We start from the raw sequence: 16,939 nt of genomic DNA, 5'->3' as shown, positions 1-16,939 counted from the left end.
ATCCCCCACCTGGCCAATCAGCCTTCCACACTCAGTAGCCCCCTGCCCACCAAATTATCCTTAAAAATCCCTAGTCTCCAAATTTTGGGGGAGACTGATTTGAGTTATAAAACTCTGCTTTTCTGTCTAGCTGGCTCTGCTTTTATTAAGCTCTTTCTCTATTGTGATAACACTGTTAGTAACTTGGCTCTATCTGTGCAGTGGGCAAGAAGAATCCATTGGGCAGTTACAACTCTAGGAGACAATCCATTTCCTTGTTTTGCCCATTTTTGAAGGCTGTCCTCATTCCTTCCTTCTGGCCATCAGACGGCCTTTTTTTCCCCCTCTCTTTCCTTCCATCATTCATTGTTTTCTTTCTCTGCCTCTTTCTCTGCTATCTCCTTATAAAGCCACTGTGATTACATGGAGCCACTTGGATAATCTGACTCATCTGCCTTTCCCAAGATCCTTAACTTAATTACATCTGCAAAGTCCCTTTGCCTTATAAGATGACATATTTACAGATTCTGGATATTAGGATTGTGATATTGTGGGAGTGAAGAATATGTTATTCAGTCTACCATATTATATTTCAAATGTGACGTATTCCTTAAGAGATATAATTGCATAAGTTATGAGCCACAGAACATGGCTTTTCGACTACATTCATTAGTTCCACTATAGAATTAAGAACTGACACTTCTCTTAAAAAAATATTTCTTAGGATTGCAACTGCAATGAAACAGTAGACAATTCTAGAGCCCAAGTAATCACAATATTAAATTAATGCTAAAAATTTTAGGTGAATTTGAAAAAAATGAACATGATTAACATAGATCATTTTAAATTATTGATATGTAAAATAGCATCACACCTTTCCTTTTGTGAAAATAGAAAGTTTAATCAAATGTTGTAGCTCATCTTTCAAGAGTCTCCAGTGTCATCACTGAAGAAGTGCGGGAGATTCAGTTCCACTGGAGAATTTTGAGAGCGCTAATATTATTCAGTATAAAGAATCCTTTTTTTCCTATGCTTTCTATTTGTGTTCTTTTTATTGTTTGGCTATTTTGTAAAAAATAAAAATAGAATGCAAAAAAATGCACTCATTTCTGATGGGAAACTATTTAGAACTCTAATTAATGCAGGATCTTTTTTTTTTTTTTTTTTTTTTTTTTTTTTTTTTTTGTGACAGAGTGAGACTCTGTCACCTAGGTTGGAGTGCAGTGGTGTGATCTCAGCTCACTGCAACCTCTGCCTCCTGAGTTCAAGCAATTCTCTTGATTCAGCCTCCCAAGTAGCTGGGATTACAGATGTGCACCACCACGCCCAGATAATTTTTTTTTGTATTTTAAGTAGAGATGGGGTTTCACCATGTTGACAAGGCTGGTCTTGAACTCCTGATTTCAGGTGATCCACCTGCCTTGGCTTCCCAAAGTACTGGGATTATGGTGTTAGCCACCTCACCTGGTCTAATTAATACAGGATTTGATGTGAGTATACCAAATACCCCCCATCATCTGTTAACAAATTAATGAAAACAAGACATGACCATTGAAAGGATTCCAAGCAATATAACAGAAGAATGCTGGAGGCATTTTAGTATTTTACATTAACTGTAACTTCAAAACACATCTTAAATGGAGACGTATTTAAGGTGGACTGAAATTCCCTTAAGGGATTAAAATGTGATAATAACCTGAAAATTTTTTAACAAAGTTATTAAAATTAAATAATTCAATCACTTAATTTAGTTAAATAATTTAATCATTTAATTTACTTAAATAATTTAATTATTTAAAATAATTAAAATAAACCATTACTACTTTTTCTAGTTATTTAAATAAATGCTTAAATAACTTATTTTATTTATTTATTTTTCCTGATTAGCAGTATGAGGTTTAAGGAAATCTTTTCTCACCTTGGCCAAAAATCATTGAATCCCAATACTGGTATTAGTCTAAAAATTGTATACTTGTGAATTTAATCTTATTTGAAAGTATTACCATTAGATTTGAAAGTATTATTAAAATGCCAAGGCAATGACATATTTTATATAATAAAATATTTGATAAGCTATGTGGTAATAATTTCACTAAAGTGGATGTGATATCTTTTCCTCATGTTGTTGTTGTCCTTTCCAGGAAAAAAATAATAGACTCCATAGATTTTATAAAATTGCTTATATAATTTAGGAAAAAGAAGATTCTCTCTACAAAATCAATATATTCAGACCAAGAATTCACTCTTAAATTCATACACACTATCAATCTTTAAATCTTGTTCATGTCACCTCCAAATTATAGCTCTGGGGGAATCGCTACCTTTCAGTTTTAACCATTTTAGAAAAGTCACAATCATTCTTGTTTAGGTGAATACATTGGGCTAGCTTCTCCGCTTTCTTCTCCACCCTCTCCACTGAGCAGATAGAGAAATCTTATTTAAAAATGAAATTATGCGATTTTTCAGCTTAAATTAACGGTTTTTCATTACACTTAGAAAGAAATTAAAACCTTTTCATAATGGTTACCTTTAGGTGTCAGCTTGACTGGGCCAAGGGATAACCATATGGATGGTAATACATTATTTCTGTGTGTGTCTGTGAGGGTATTTCTGGAAGAGATTAGCGTTTGAATAGGTGGAAAGAGCAAAGAGGATTATTTCCACCAATGTGAGTGCACTATCCAATCCACTGAGGCCCAAATAGGACAAAAAGTGAAGGAGAAGCAAATCCACCCTCTGCCTGAGCTGAAACATGCCTCTTCTCTCAGGCCTTTGGGTTCCAGTGAATTACACCACTGGCTTTTCTGGTTCTCCAGCTGGCAGAAGGCAGATTATGATTGTGGAACTCTCGGCCTCTTAATCGTGTGTGCCAGTTACTATAATAAGCCTCCTCTTATATATATCTGTAGATATCCTTTTTGTTCCGTTTCTCTGAAGAACCCTGACTAATATATTTTTACCATGACCTATAAATAATTGCAGGATCTAACCCAATTCAGTGATTTCATTGCTTAGATCATCCACACTCATTCACTCTTTTGTAATCACAATGACCTTTGGCAGTTCCTAGAACAAACATGCCACATTCTTCACATTTCAAAGCCTTTGCATTTATTATTCACTCTCTGCCAAACATTTTTCCACTGCCACCTGGCATGGCTGGCCCCTAGCATCCTGCAAGTTTCAGATGAAACATCATCCCTCCTGGAAGACCATCCTTTTGGTTATTCTGTATCAGAGTCACAGCATTTCCCTCACAGCACTTAAATACCCCATATTTATTTAGAGTCTTTTTTTTTTTTTATGTTTCCTGCATGAGAGTGTAATTTGACTCTGGCAAGAATCTTGAGTATCCTGCTCATTGTGTTACTCAAAATGTGGAACAGGGAGTCTAATGATTAAATTATGCTGGATAAATAAGAGTGGAGGAATGTTAAATATTTTCTTTGCACTTTACAGTATATTTTATACTAGAAAATATATGTCTCTTTCATGTAAAAAGAAAGATGAGCTATTAGAAAAGAAACAATTTTAAAATATTTGGAATATAGGGCAGAGCTCTAGAGGCAGAGAAACAAAATCAGACAAAAATGAAAAGCAAATAAACACATTTCTCCTTTCCTATTTGGATTTAATAAATATATTCTTTCGCAAATATGACCTAGCACTGGTCGAAAATGATAATGCATTTCTTGCAATGTCAAAAGCTTTAATAAAACCTAAGTAGCAGATTTATGCAGATGTTAGATATGAATTAAATCACAAAAGTTCCCAAAAGGTTTACGATCATTATATCAGCATTTGTCATATTCTTTTTTGTGCTTTTTTCTTTGCTTGAATATAGAGTTTCATAATGCTTTGAATATATTTATTTGTCAGTCAATACATATTAGTTACAAAGGGAAAATTAGTTACATGCCATAGTTGAATATAAACCTGATTTCATTATTCCACTGTTGAATACTTTTCAATAAGTTGCCATTGAGTAATAAACTCCTAGGAAAGTATTTACCATCTTATAATAATTGGCCTCTTATTGTCTCTCAAAATACCTGATGCTGACTTATTTTTTTGTTTACCTTGAAAACATACCTTTTATTGTAGCCATTTTCCTTCATTGTATCCATCCGCAAGCTTTCTCCTCATGATTCAACATTTAGCAGATGTTTAACCTGCTTTGTACAACCTTGTAACTTCCCAGGTGAATTGGGCTTTCCTCTCTGAACTCTCAATTGCATTTTGAATTCTACTCTATTCCCATCATCCCAATGCTTTCTTATTTTTATATTTCTCTTCCTTACAATTCTTTAAGCTATCTGAAAACAAACACTTTTTTCTCATCCTAGCATAATACTTAGAAAACTGTGTGTTGCAGAAAGGTTTCAGTCTTGAAATACCAAATTGGCTTCAACTGAAAACTAGCTTCACTCCTAACAGAAAAGCTAGCAGAGCTAGGAAGTTGCAGTCCGAGGGGTGGGAATTCCCTTAATGCTTAATTGCACTTCCTTAATTTCAAATTCTAATTAGCTTTAGGAAGCCTTTGTTGTTTCGATATTTCCCTTCTCATAATTTTTAATGTATCTGTAATTCCAAGAATAATAATAGGGCAGATCAGTTCTTGATGGGGACTCCTCACATACTGACAGCCTTGTGCCCTCAGAGAGCTCCTCAGACCCTGGCCATCCTGGGCTTAAAAACCCTCATGCTTTCTGTTTCGCTCTAAATCCTTTCAAATCTACTAACTGATTTTTATTTGGAGGCAGTAGTGATTCAGCTGAAAATGCACTATTTAGGATATAAGTTTTGCATCCCTGTTTAGTTTGAGAATTTATTCAATGGATGCCTTATCTTTGGATATAAATACTTAATTGAGATAGATTTTAGATACGTCCATTTTAAAATATTATGTCTATATCACAGATATCACAGGATTTTTTGTTGCCAATTTAATAAGTCAATAAATGTGAAGAATGCTGATGCAGCCATAGAACATTACGGGCAATAAATGCAAATTAGTCAAATGCAAAATTGTAAGATTGCTTACATGACATAGATGGAAAGTGTACCTCAAATTCTTAAGACTAAATGTTGTATCTGTAAAATTGTAAATAATAAGAATCATGTAAATTTCAAAATTAAAAAAATACTTTGAAGTCATTTTGTTTTCAAATTATATAGAAAATAGCAAGAAAATTGTAGTTAATTAGAAATGCCTTAGAGATATATAAATTGCACTGCTATGACAAAATGTATCATGGATTACTTATTTCTGAAAAAATATTCTTATGAAAAATATGCTTAATGAAACCATATAACAAAAAAAGATAATATTACTTTCCTCATGAATTATTCTTATAGGCATTTTCTCATAATCTAACAATTTAAGAACTATTCTATTTTTTTATTTTAATATGATTAATATTACATTCACTTTCAGATAATTACAATGTCCTAAATTTTATGAGAAGTATTTTTAAAAATTAATATGAAACAGAGGTTTAATTTTTTTGTTTTAATATAAATAATCTTAAAAGCAGTATGTTAGAGTTTTATTTTACCATTAGCTTTTCCATAACTCATGCTGCATATTCATTGGATTGCTTGCAAAAGAGACTACTTCTTTGTCAGGAATATATCTCTATGTTTTTCACTTAATTAAGAGGAAAAATTGTTTTCTCCTTGCAAAAATATACAAGACATTTAGAACGTTGCTGTTTATAGCATAGAATATGAAAGACACCTAAAGTAATCCTGATATGATTTGGCTGTATCCCCACCCAAATCTCATTTTGTTTTTTCTTGTTGCTGTTGTTATTTTATTTATAATTTATTTTTATTATACTTTAAGTTCTGGGATACACGTGCAGAACGTGCAGGTTTGTTACATAGGTATACATGTGCCATGGTGGTTTGCTGCACCCATCAACCTGTCATCTACATTAGGTATTTCTCCTAATGCTACTCCTCCTCTATCTCCCCACCCCGTGACAGGCCTTGGTGTGTGATGTTCCACTTCCTGTGTCCATGTGTTCTAATTGTTCAGCTGCCACTTATGAGTGAGAATATGCAGTGTTTGGTTTTCTGTTCCTGTGTTAGTTTGCTGAGAATGATGGTTTCCTGCTTCACCCATGTCCCTGCAAAGGACATAAACTCCTCCTTTTTTATGGCTGCATAGTATTCCATGATGTATACGTATCATATTTTCTTTATCCAGTCTATCATTGATGGGCATTTGGGTTGGTTCCAAGTCTTTGCTCTTGTGAGCAGTGCTGCCATAAACATACGTGTGCATGTGTCTTTATAGTAGATGATTTATAATCCTTTGGGTATATACCCAGTACTGGCATTGCTGGGTCAAATGGTATTTCTGGTTCTAGATCTTTGAGGAATCATCACACTGTCTTCCACAATGGTTGAACTAATTTACACTCCCACTAACAGTGTAAAAGCATTCTTATTTCTCCACATCCTCTCCAGCATCTATTGTTTCCTAACTTTTTAACTTGCATGAGATGGTATCTCATTGTGGTTTTGATTTGCATTTCTCTAATGACTAGTGATGATGAGCTTTTTTTCATTGCCAAATCTCATTTTGAATTCCTATGTGTTGTGGGAGGGGCCAGGTGGGAGGTAATTGAATCATGGGGTGAGTCTTTCCCCTGCTGTTCTCGTGATAGTGAGTAAGTCTCATGAGATCTGATGGTTTAAAAATGGGAGTTGCCCTGCACAAGCTCTCTCTTTGCCTAATGCCATCCATATAGGACTTGACTTTCTCCTCCTTGCCTTTGCCATGATTGTGAGGCCTCCCCAGCCATATGAAACTGTTAAATCTATTAAACCTCTTTCTTCTTGGGTATGTCTTGGTGCAATGACAAGCATCTGCTATCTCTGGTATGTCTTTATCAGCAGCATGAAAATGGACTAATAAAAATCCTCTTTACTTTATCTTTTCCCAGTTTCCCCATCACATTTAGTGATTTGGTTTGGCTCTGTGTCCCCACCTAAATCTCATCTTGGAGCTCCCTAATTCCCACGTGTTGTGGGAGGGACCCCGAGGGAGATGATTGAATTATGTGGTCGGGTTTTTCCCGTGCTCTTCTCAAGATAGTGAATGGGTCTCATGAAATATGATGGTTTTAAAAACAGGGGTTTCTCTGCACAAGCTCTCTCTTTTTTGCCTGCTGCCATCCACGTTAGATGTGACTTGCTCCTCCTTACCTTCCACCATGACTGTGAGGCCTCCCCAGTCATGTGGAACTCTAAGTCCAATAAACCTCTTTCTTTTGTAAATTGCCCAGTCTCGAGTATGTCTTTATCAGCAATCTGAAAATGGACTAATACATTTACTATGGCCTGATTTTCTTGCCTGAAACAATTTGTTGTTCTGTTCAGTTTAAACCCATTTTCTCACAAATGACAGTGATGGCAAGTTGTCTCCACACTGCCCTGCAGATATGTCTTTATCATTATTTTACATTCTCACCTGATCTTCATTCAAAGTCTGTATATATTGACTTTTCCATAAACAGAGTGTTTACCTTTAGCTATTGATTTAAAACCCTGACATCAAACTATTTTTTAGAGCTCAAAAAATATAAAACATGTTTAGTTATTTATACTTTAAGTCCTCTTTCCTTCCAGCTTATCCTTTACTAATTGATAGAGTTCATTTCATTAAATAAGCCAATTTTTAAAAAGTGGAAATCATGCAGTTTAGAAAATTTAAACCTGAGACTTGTTAATTGATTTTTAAAGTATATTTTTAATATTTTTAAAGTATAGATTTTTCTTCTGATTACATTGAAAGAGCTATTTCAAAAATATATTGAAAGAACAAATTTTGCAAATCTTCATAATACAATAAAAAATGAATACTATTAGAAATTAAATTTATTAGAAACTGGATAATTAAGAGAAGTCAGGTTGCATTTTGACATTTTATTTTTCATCTAGAAGTTTGCTATAAGGTCTGCAAGCTAAATAGTTACAGATAGTAAGTGAATAGAAAAATAGGCAGTAGTGTATAAAGACCTGGAAATTGTGTTTAGTTAGGTAACCAACAGACCTCTGATATTCCACTCATGTCTGATGGCTTCACATTTATTATTATGGAATTAGAAATTATTATGTCAAGCACCTCTGATTCAGTCTTCATGAAAATGAAGAGAAACAAAAGATCACAATAATATTTGTTTAGTCTTTGTAGGAAATAACTTATTAAGAAAATCATGTTGTATTTTCTTTTTTTTTTTTTTTTTTTTTTTTGAGACGGAGTCTCGCTCTGTCGCCCAGGCCGGACTGCGGACTGCAGTGGCGCAATCTCGGCTCACTGCAAGCTCCGCTTCCCGGGTTCACGCCATTCTCCTGCCTCAGCCTCCCGAGTAGCTGGGACTACAGGCGCCCGCCACCGCGCCCGGCTAATTTTTTGTATTTTTAGTAGAGACGGGGTTTCACCGTGTTAGCCAGGATGGTCTCGATCTCCTGACCTCATGATCCACCCGCCTCGGCCTCCCAAAGTGCTGGGATTACAGGCGTGAGCCACCGCGCCCGGCCCATGTTGTATTTTCAAACTACTACACTGGTATGTTTTATGTTCTCTGATCAAGGCAGCAAAGCACCAGCAATCTGTCTGATCCCAAAGTCCAGGTGGGCCGACAGCCCCTTCTGCAGAGACCAGAGGTGGGAGAAGAGCTTCCTCAGACCCTGGAAGATGTGGAACACTGGCTTAGATATATAGGGCTCCCCAAGTATGTTTTTGTGTCTTAAGATACCAGTTTACTTTAAATAAGATCAACAGGCTTCTAGGCTGTCCTCTGTTGTCCAGTGAGACAGAGGACACTGGAGAGAGTGCTGAGTGTCCTGAGAGAGGCCACTGAGCAGGTGCTGGGAGGTCCTTTCAGCCTGGCTCAGTGGGGAGTTGGGGTGCCCGCTTGAGAACGGAGGCACAGGGTTTAAGTGAGAGGCAGAAGTCATCAAAACTGCCCAGGTTTTTTGAAAACTGAGTGCCCAATGACTAACCAAGTTTACATGACTTGAGTGTTGAACTCAATTAATGTCTATATGTCACCTTTCCTAGTTCTAATCTTCAGAGCTTGGGGTCAGGGGGAAGGTGGGAGAAAACTGGGGGCAGTATTAAAAAATTATTTTTGTTTTCCATGACTTACAGGAGTAGAGTTTGCAGTGGTTACATATGAAAGCATACTCCACAGATGTAAAATGTATTAATGGAATTTTATTGTGTGCAGGCTCATTCTCCTAAATTGTGCATTTAGAAGATATTAGAAATATTTGAGATAACGAATTAGTACAAAATTAACTACAATCTTTTCCTTTCTTTACATCTACTTAGAATAATAAGGCTTTAACCAGGAACATTTAAATTTTGTATTATTCATTTAATCTATATAATTTCTTGTTTCTGTTGTTTAGAAAACAAAATGTGTTCACCATTTTTGTAAAGGTACTCAACAACTCCTTCAAATGGTGCCACAATTCACTCAAGATAAAAACCTCAGAGTTATTCTTAAATTATATTTTTATTACATCCCTTACCCAATTGATCAGCATATCATCTCTACTTTCACATATATCTCAAATCTTCCCAGGTATCATAAGTTAAGGGTAACATGAGGCCATTCCTAGCATATTTTACTTAAGATTATGTATATTCAAACTCAAAAATTAAATATTTGTTTTAACTGGTTTAAAAAGTAAATATGCCTCATTAAAATAAGGACACTGTAATTATCTAGAAGAGAATATAATGTGAGTCATATTGGAAATCCAGAAATAATCCATCTTATTGTCAAAATTACCATAATTTCTCCCACCGACTACAATAGTAAGTTTATAGCTCTTCTCATTGCTACGAATTTTACCCACCTCCTCTCTCTTGCTCCAAAGTATTCTCTAGAGGAGAGCTCCAATGGTATAGAAAATAGTAATGATCTCTATGCGTTTGTTAAAACCCACAGAACTGTACATAACAAAGAGTGAACTTTACTATATGCAGATTTTACAAAATGAACCAGGATATTGGAGAATCCCAGGAGGAAATGCAGGCTGTGAAAAATAAATCTAACTGTATTACTAATGCACAGCATAATCTCACCAAAAGGGGTTGGGAAAGAGGAGCTAATTTAAGTAACCTTGGAAAGGAGAATTTTGACTGAATACTGGGAGGCTAAAAACAAAAGAATGGTACATAAGGACCAACTTTCAGCAGTTAATTTGTTTCTTACATGGTCAGGAGTTAATTCTGAAGCTATATAAACACTGGAGTTGAACAAATAAATAAACTGGAGCTAACACAATGGGAGCTAAGTTTTGCACTGGCAGAGAAAGTTACACATATTAAAAAAAGCTAGAGTATATCTTGTGTTGCTGGATCAGGGACAGAAATATTATTTTGAATTGATGTTTATTCTGATATAGAAATAATAAATAATTATAAATAAGTATAGATATGTGTGCATACATGGGATAATACAAACACACACACACATGCACACACACACACATTCATATATCCTAGCTCAGTCTACAGAGATGACCTAGAAAGAGTGACAGTCCAGTAGCAGTGAGAAAACCTAGCACACACTTATCTTAATTTCTAAATGCAATTTTCTAATTAAAGGAATGTGGGATTCCATGGAAAAATGGATTATAGGGATGTGGCTTGAAAAATATAAGAGAAATTTGTGGCATGTTGCAGTGATAGAAAATAAGAAAAAATTTAAAAAAAAGATGAGGCCATGTCAAAGGGACACAGGAGCCAACTTGAAAGCTTCCAATAGCTAAATCTGGAACAGTTTAAGCAACGATGTAAATAACAATAATTTCAAACTAGAACTGAAATAATAAAGTACATATTGAGTCTATATGGATATAAATAGATTACTTATTAAATAATAAATGATTTATTAGATAAATCAATAGAGAAGAGATGAATCTTCCTTAGAGCAGAATTCTAAATGATAAATTTCGCAGAAATGTGGAAATAGAAAATCATGATTAGAAGAGTACAGTAATAATTGCTACAGGCAACATCCACAGGTGAATGCCACTCAAACTATCACTTCACAAATAATTATTAAATACTGTGTGGCTTCAAAATATTCAGAAATGTTTTTATACTCTCCTCTACGAGGTGGAGCTGAATTTTATTTCTTTTTAGCATGGGCTGGACTTAGTGGCTTGCTTCCAACAACTAGTATATGGAAAGTGGCGAGGGATATTTCTTTGATATTCTTTCCCAGAATAAATAATTCCAGTGTAATCCTGATACATTAGTCCGACCGTGTAATTTATAAAGCAAGGAGATGTAATTGGCTTATGGTTCTGCTGACTGTACAGGAAACATAGCAGCTTCTGCTTTGGGGGAGACCTGAGAAAGCTTCCAATCATGGTGGAAGGCAAAGGAGGAGCAGTCATCTTACTACACACCTTTACAAGGCCAGATCTCATGAAAATTCACTATCACAAGTACAGCACCAAGGGGATAGTGGTAAACCATTCATGAGAAACCATCCCCATGATCAAATCACCTCTCACTAGGCCTCACCTACAACATTAGGGATTACAATTCAACATGAGATTTGGGTGGGGGCACATATCCAAACTATATCACACAAGAAAACATCAGACAAACCCAACTCAGGAACATTTTACAAGACATCTGAACAGTCATGAACAGCAGGGAAGAAAAATAAACTGTCATAGATTAGAAAAGACTTGGAGACATGGTGACATGGTATCTTGAATTGAAAAGTTAAATAGAAAAGGAGGTAAGTAGAAAAACTGATGAATTCTGAAAAATCATTTAACAGTAATGGAGCGGTGTTTCTTAGTTTTCATTCAAGGTAACATGGTGATGGAAAATGTTATTAGGGGAAACCTGGTGAAGAATATATGCAAACTTTCAGAATCACCTTGATCACTTTTAAGTGGATCAAATATTGTAAATAAAAAGTTAAAATAAAAATGGTGTTAACAGTAATAGTTATTATTGTGTTCTTTATAATGTTTCCTGCAGAAACCTTGCTGTAGTGTCCCACCACAATCACAGTGACTTCCAGGCTTTCCATATAGACCCATGGTTGGCAGAACTGATCTCCTTCCCGTCCTAACTCACTTGCTTACTCTACCTGAGTTGCAAGGATGTTTTGCTGTGTGTTGCAGGCTTAAAGCTTTTAAAATTCCTGTTCTTGAATAAAAATTATCTTCTGAGTACCTTGCCCTATGAAAACATATATATATATATTTTATTTCCTATTCCTTCAACCTAGTTTCAATTATCTTTTAAGTTACAAAATTATAAAACCAATCAACTGAATTTTAACGTTCACTTATTTTATTATATTGATATTAAAATATCCTTCCTAACTTCTCATTTGCATACAAACCTAGGATATAATGAATTTAATGAAAACATATTGTTTTCAATTATAAAGTTAAGAAATAAGTGTCTAGTAATGGCTTACAAAACAAATTTGTTCAAAATATAATTGAGTTGATTATATATTCATTTTGTTACGGCTTTTAAAATAATGTACTCACCTGGATGATTTAAAATAGATGCTTTATGGATGAAAGCTAGCTCCATCTACTAGGGGCTCTTTATTTTATAGATAAAGCAGAAGATGCCAAAATAGTTTGTGGCAAGGATGGATAATATAGCATAGGCAACTTGTAGGAGTCTCAGGAATTATATTTAGATTCCTAGACTGTCAGGCTAGTTTACTATTCGCAGTTCCTGCAACTTTAAAAAAAAAAGTGGGGGGGAATCTTCCTTATAAAAGAAAATTATTTGTTCCACAGATTTTGCATTTTGGGTCTACGGAATTCGTGAAAAAATAAAAGTCATAGTCACACTTAAGGTGGTAGGACTAATCTATGTCCGAAACATTTTTATTGAGATAAATGGGTATAAAAATTTCTAAAGCAGAGACTTTTCACTAAATTGTCTCCCTCCATAAAAACACTTAAGAGTATTCATGAAATATTAGAAATGATAAAGCTGATAACTAAGTATTAAGGGAAAAAGCTATGTACTGCGTATTGATTGAACACAGAAGCAATGACTCTGTCTTTCGAACATTAATAACTTCTTAAATTGCACATTAAAATCCCATCTCATGAATGTATTATTTAAAACTCCAGTAAATTTAATGTTATCTCCAAAGCAACTATTATAGAGACTTAATGGATTTCTTAATTAGGATATAGTATAAATGGTTATAGAACACTAATTAAAATGGAGGGTTGGAGAAGCAGCCAAAATATGAAGAAATTATTCAAGCAATGATTTTATTAAAAAAAAGAAAGGAAGCTTTATTCAAAACATTTAAAGGAAATGTACAAATCATACACTTCATTTAATCAACGCAATGTTTTCCATGAGTATTAATATGTATTGGTTCCTTCTAAATATATATTCCATTTTACTTTAATATCTTGCAAGTTACCTAAATCATTTTGTTTTATAATTGGATTGTATTAATTATGCAGAGAAATGAAAATACATTTCTATGATAGTGGCCAAATTTGTTTGTACCTCTGGAATTTATTTCATAGTCTTATTTATTTGAATACAGATTTTCATTATAAATGTATCACTGCATTAATATTTTATCTGGATAACTTTATTTAGTAAATGCTCTTATCTGTAAAAAGTTGATGTGATTGAAACTATTTGGATAAGGATTTTGAAATGAAGTAATAGTATATTATTTGGCATTGAATAATTAATATAATTCCACTCAAAAATATCTACAGATATTTTATATCATTTATGTTTATATCTATTCCTTATTTTTAGAATGTCTTATTAGATAGCAATTTTATATTTTTTACTAGTCTCTGAATGGAGAAAATACTTTGTTCTGTATAAAAGCAAATCATTTTCAAAGAGTTGAAGCAGAAAATGAAATTGAATATAGAACTTTGGAACTGTCTTACAAAACTGAAGACCAGAAAATGCCACTTAAGGTTCATATGGGCTGGCATCTGGAACAGGAGAATTTTAGGGATGTAGGAGACCTTCTTTGCCTGAATTCCTGTGATTGTAACTTGCGTGGGCTGACACCTCTGCTTTTCTGTATGAATCTACTTCAATTCTCTCTTTCTCTGAACTGAATTTACCTCTTTAGTATTCCTGTAGAAAACACATCCACTTCAGCATTCCAGATTTCTCAAGTCCTCAGTTCAAGTAAACCAAGACCTCAATTCAAGTAAACCAAAATGATTAAAATGAATTATGTTTCCAATGCAAAAATCTGGCAAAAAGGATTTGATTGGCCTAATTTGGGTCAGTGTTCGTTCTTGGTACAGTCAACCATAGTCTGGGGTTTGGATCTTATAATATAAATCGGTAAGTCTTTGTCCGTCCTCTGAGTAGGGTGGTATAAAACAGAGAACGCATTAACTGTAAATTAAAATGTTAATATACTTAGATTTATAAGAATCAATTCTTCAATGTTTAATTGGCATAATTGACTTTAAAGAGTACAAGCAAGATAAAATGTTTGTGATTTATATTAAACAAATATATAATATTAGTATATTATGTATTCCATAATACCTCATTGGAGTTGTTTATGATTGAGGCTAGATTTGTTTTAAATGCAGGCTAGCATCAACACCATAATATTTTAAAGTGTTAAATTCATGTATTTTCAGAGTTGATAGAGAATATATGATAATTCCTAAAGGTTGCCAGTTTATCTCCTATTTCTAAACAGATATCAGTATCACCTTTTAACTTCTAATGAAAGTGTTATCACCAAGGCCTTTGGCTGTTAAACAACGGATTTTAAAATTATCTATCAAAGGGCATAAGTCCTTAAGACATTTCTAAGCTATATGTTTAAAAAACAGAATAGTTTCAATATCCTTAGGATTTCAATTAAAATAAAAATAATAATATACTTTATGATTTTGGATTTTAGCTTTTGTGTTGATTTATTTCAACCCACATAAAACATACAATGTTTTCCTCATACAAAATATATTTACTAATAAAATATCTTCCTACGCATTAAAAACCCAAGACAATATAGCCCTATAATGTTGCAACAAATATCAAAAAATACTTTGGCATCTTGATATTGTGTATGGCCTGCGTCTTGTCTAGTGAATGAAATCTCCACAGTATTATACTATAAGAAATTTCAAAATGAACAGCTTGCCTCTGAATATCTCTAGAGCAGCCTAGCCGTCTGTATTTTTAAAGCATAATGTCATTTCTGGCATACAAAAAATACTCAATAAATTTCATTGAATAAACGGATGAGTAAATGGATGGGGGGAAAAAAGCTCAAGTTTAAATCAGAACACGGATTACAGCAGTCATTAGAAAAGGCACTTGAACCTGTTTCATTAATGGGAATAATCACTTTTACAGAGTTTATCTGTGAAGAAAATCAAATCACATTTCTGAGCACTATATTTCTTTTTGGCACAAGTTGTTTTAGTCTCACTTTTACTTTTTCTGTCTTGGCCCTGGAATCAACTCTCTTTCCAAAGAGCACTAGTTTATTATAGTTATAGTGGAGAATGGGATTTAGAAGACAAAATTGGCCTGCAAGGTTTACAATTTTTCAAAATTGAAAGTTTGGGAAGAAAATCCTATTGGGTTTATAAAGGATTTTTCATAGCAGATGACACTGAATAAATAGTAAATAGTAGAGATTTTTATTAACTCATTTTTGTTGGTAGTATATACCTCACCTAGTATATAGAATATAGTAATTCAGTCTTCACAGAAAAAAATCTTAAAAACATAAATATATATAATGGCTACTGTATTTTATGTGATTGATATGGCTTGGTTCTGTGTCCCCACTCAAGTCTCATGTTGAATTGTAATCTCCAGTGTTGGAAGAGGCGCCTAGTGGGAGGTGATTGAATCATGGGGGCAGATTTGCTGTTCTCGTGATGGAGTTCTCATGAGATTTGGTTGTTTGAAAGTATGCGGCACTTCCTCCTTCACTCGAGCTCTCCTGCCAGTCATGTTTTCTGTACAATCTGAGAAACTGTGAGTCAATTAAACCTCCTTTCTTTATAAATTGCCCATTCTCAGGTAGTTCTTTATGGCAATGCGAGAACAACTAATATAGTGATTTAGGCAGGAATTTGAAATGTTAAAGGTAAATAAATTGCTTATTAAATGATTTTAAAGCTGTAGGCAGGGCTTGGTGGCTCATGCCTGTAATTCCAAAATTTGGAAAGCTGAGGAGGGAGAATTGTTTGAGGACATAAGTTCAAGACCAGCCTGGGGAACATATTGAGACCACATCTCTATTAAAAAAAAAAAAATACTTTGGGAGGCCGAGGCGGGTGGATTAGAAGGCCTGAGGTCAGAAGTTCAAGACCAGCCTGGTCAACATGATGAAACCCCGTCTCTACTAAATATACAGAAATTAGCCAGGCATGGTGGTGGTTGCCTGTAATCCCAGCTACTCAGGAGGCTGAGGCAGAAGAATCGCTTGAACCCGGGAGGCGGAGGTTGTAGTGAGCCTAGATTGTGCCATTGCGCTCCAGCCTGGGCAACAAGAGTGAAAGTTTGTCTCAAAAAAAAAAAAAATTGAAAATTATCCAAACATGGTGACATGTACCTGGATCCCTTGAGCTCAGATGTTTGAGGTTGCAGTAAGCTATGATTATGCCACTGCACTCCAGCTTGGACAACAGAGTGAGACCCTTTCTCTAAAAAAAAAAAAAAAAAAAAGAGAAAAGAAAACAGAAAAGAAAGAGAGAAGCTGTAGCTTTTTCTTGCTTAAATATTGGCTTTTTTTGCATTAGAAAAAACATATATTCTATATGTTTTAGATACTTACAAAACGTTAAGACAAGTGAAATGTTTAAAGTATCATTAGGTTATATTAGATAATATATTTTTTATATTTCATAACTCAATTAACTATATAATTTAATTAAATATATTAAATATTACAATATA

This window comes from Homo sapiens, chromosome 13 (assembly GCF_000001405.40).
Source record: "Homo sapiens chromosome 13, GRCh38.p14 Primary Assembly".
Lineage (NCBI taxonomy): Eukaryota > Metazoa > Chordata > Mammalia > Primates > Hominidae > Homo > Homo sapiens.
This window is presented reverse-complemented; position numbering follows the sequence as displayed.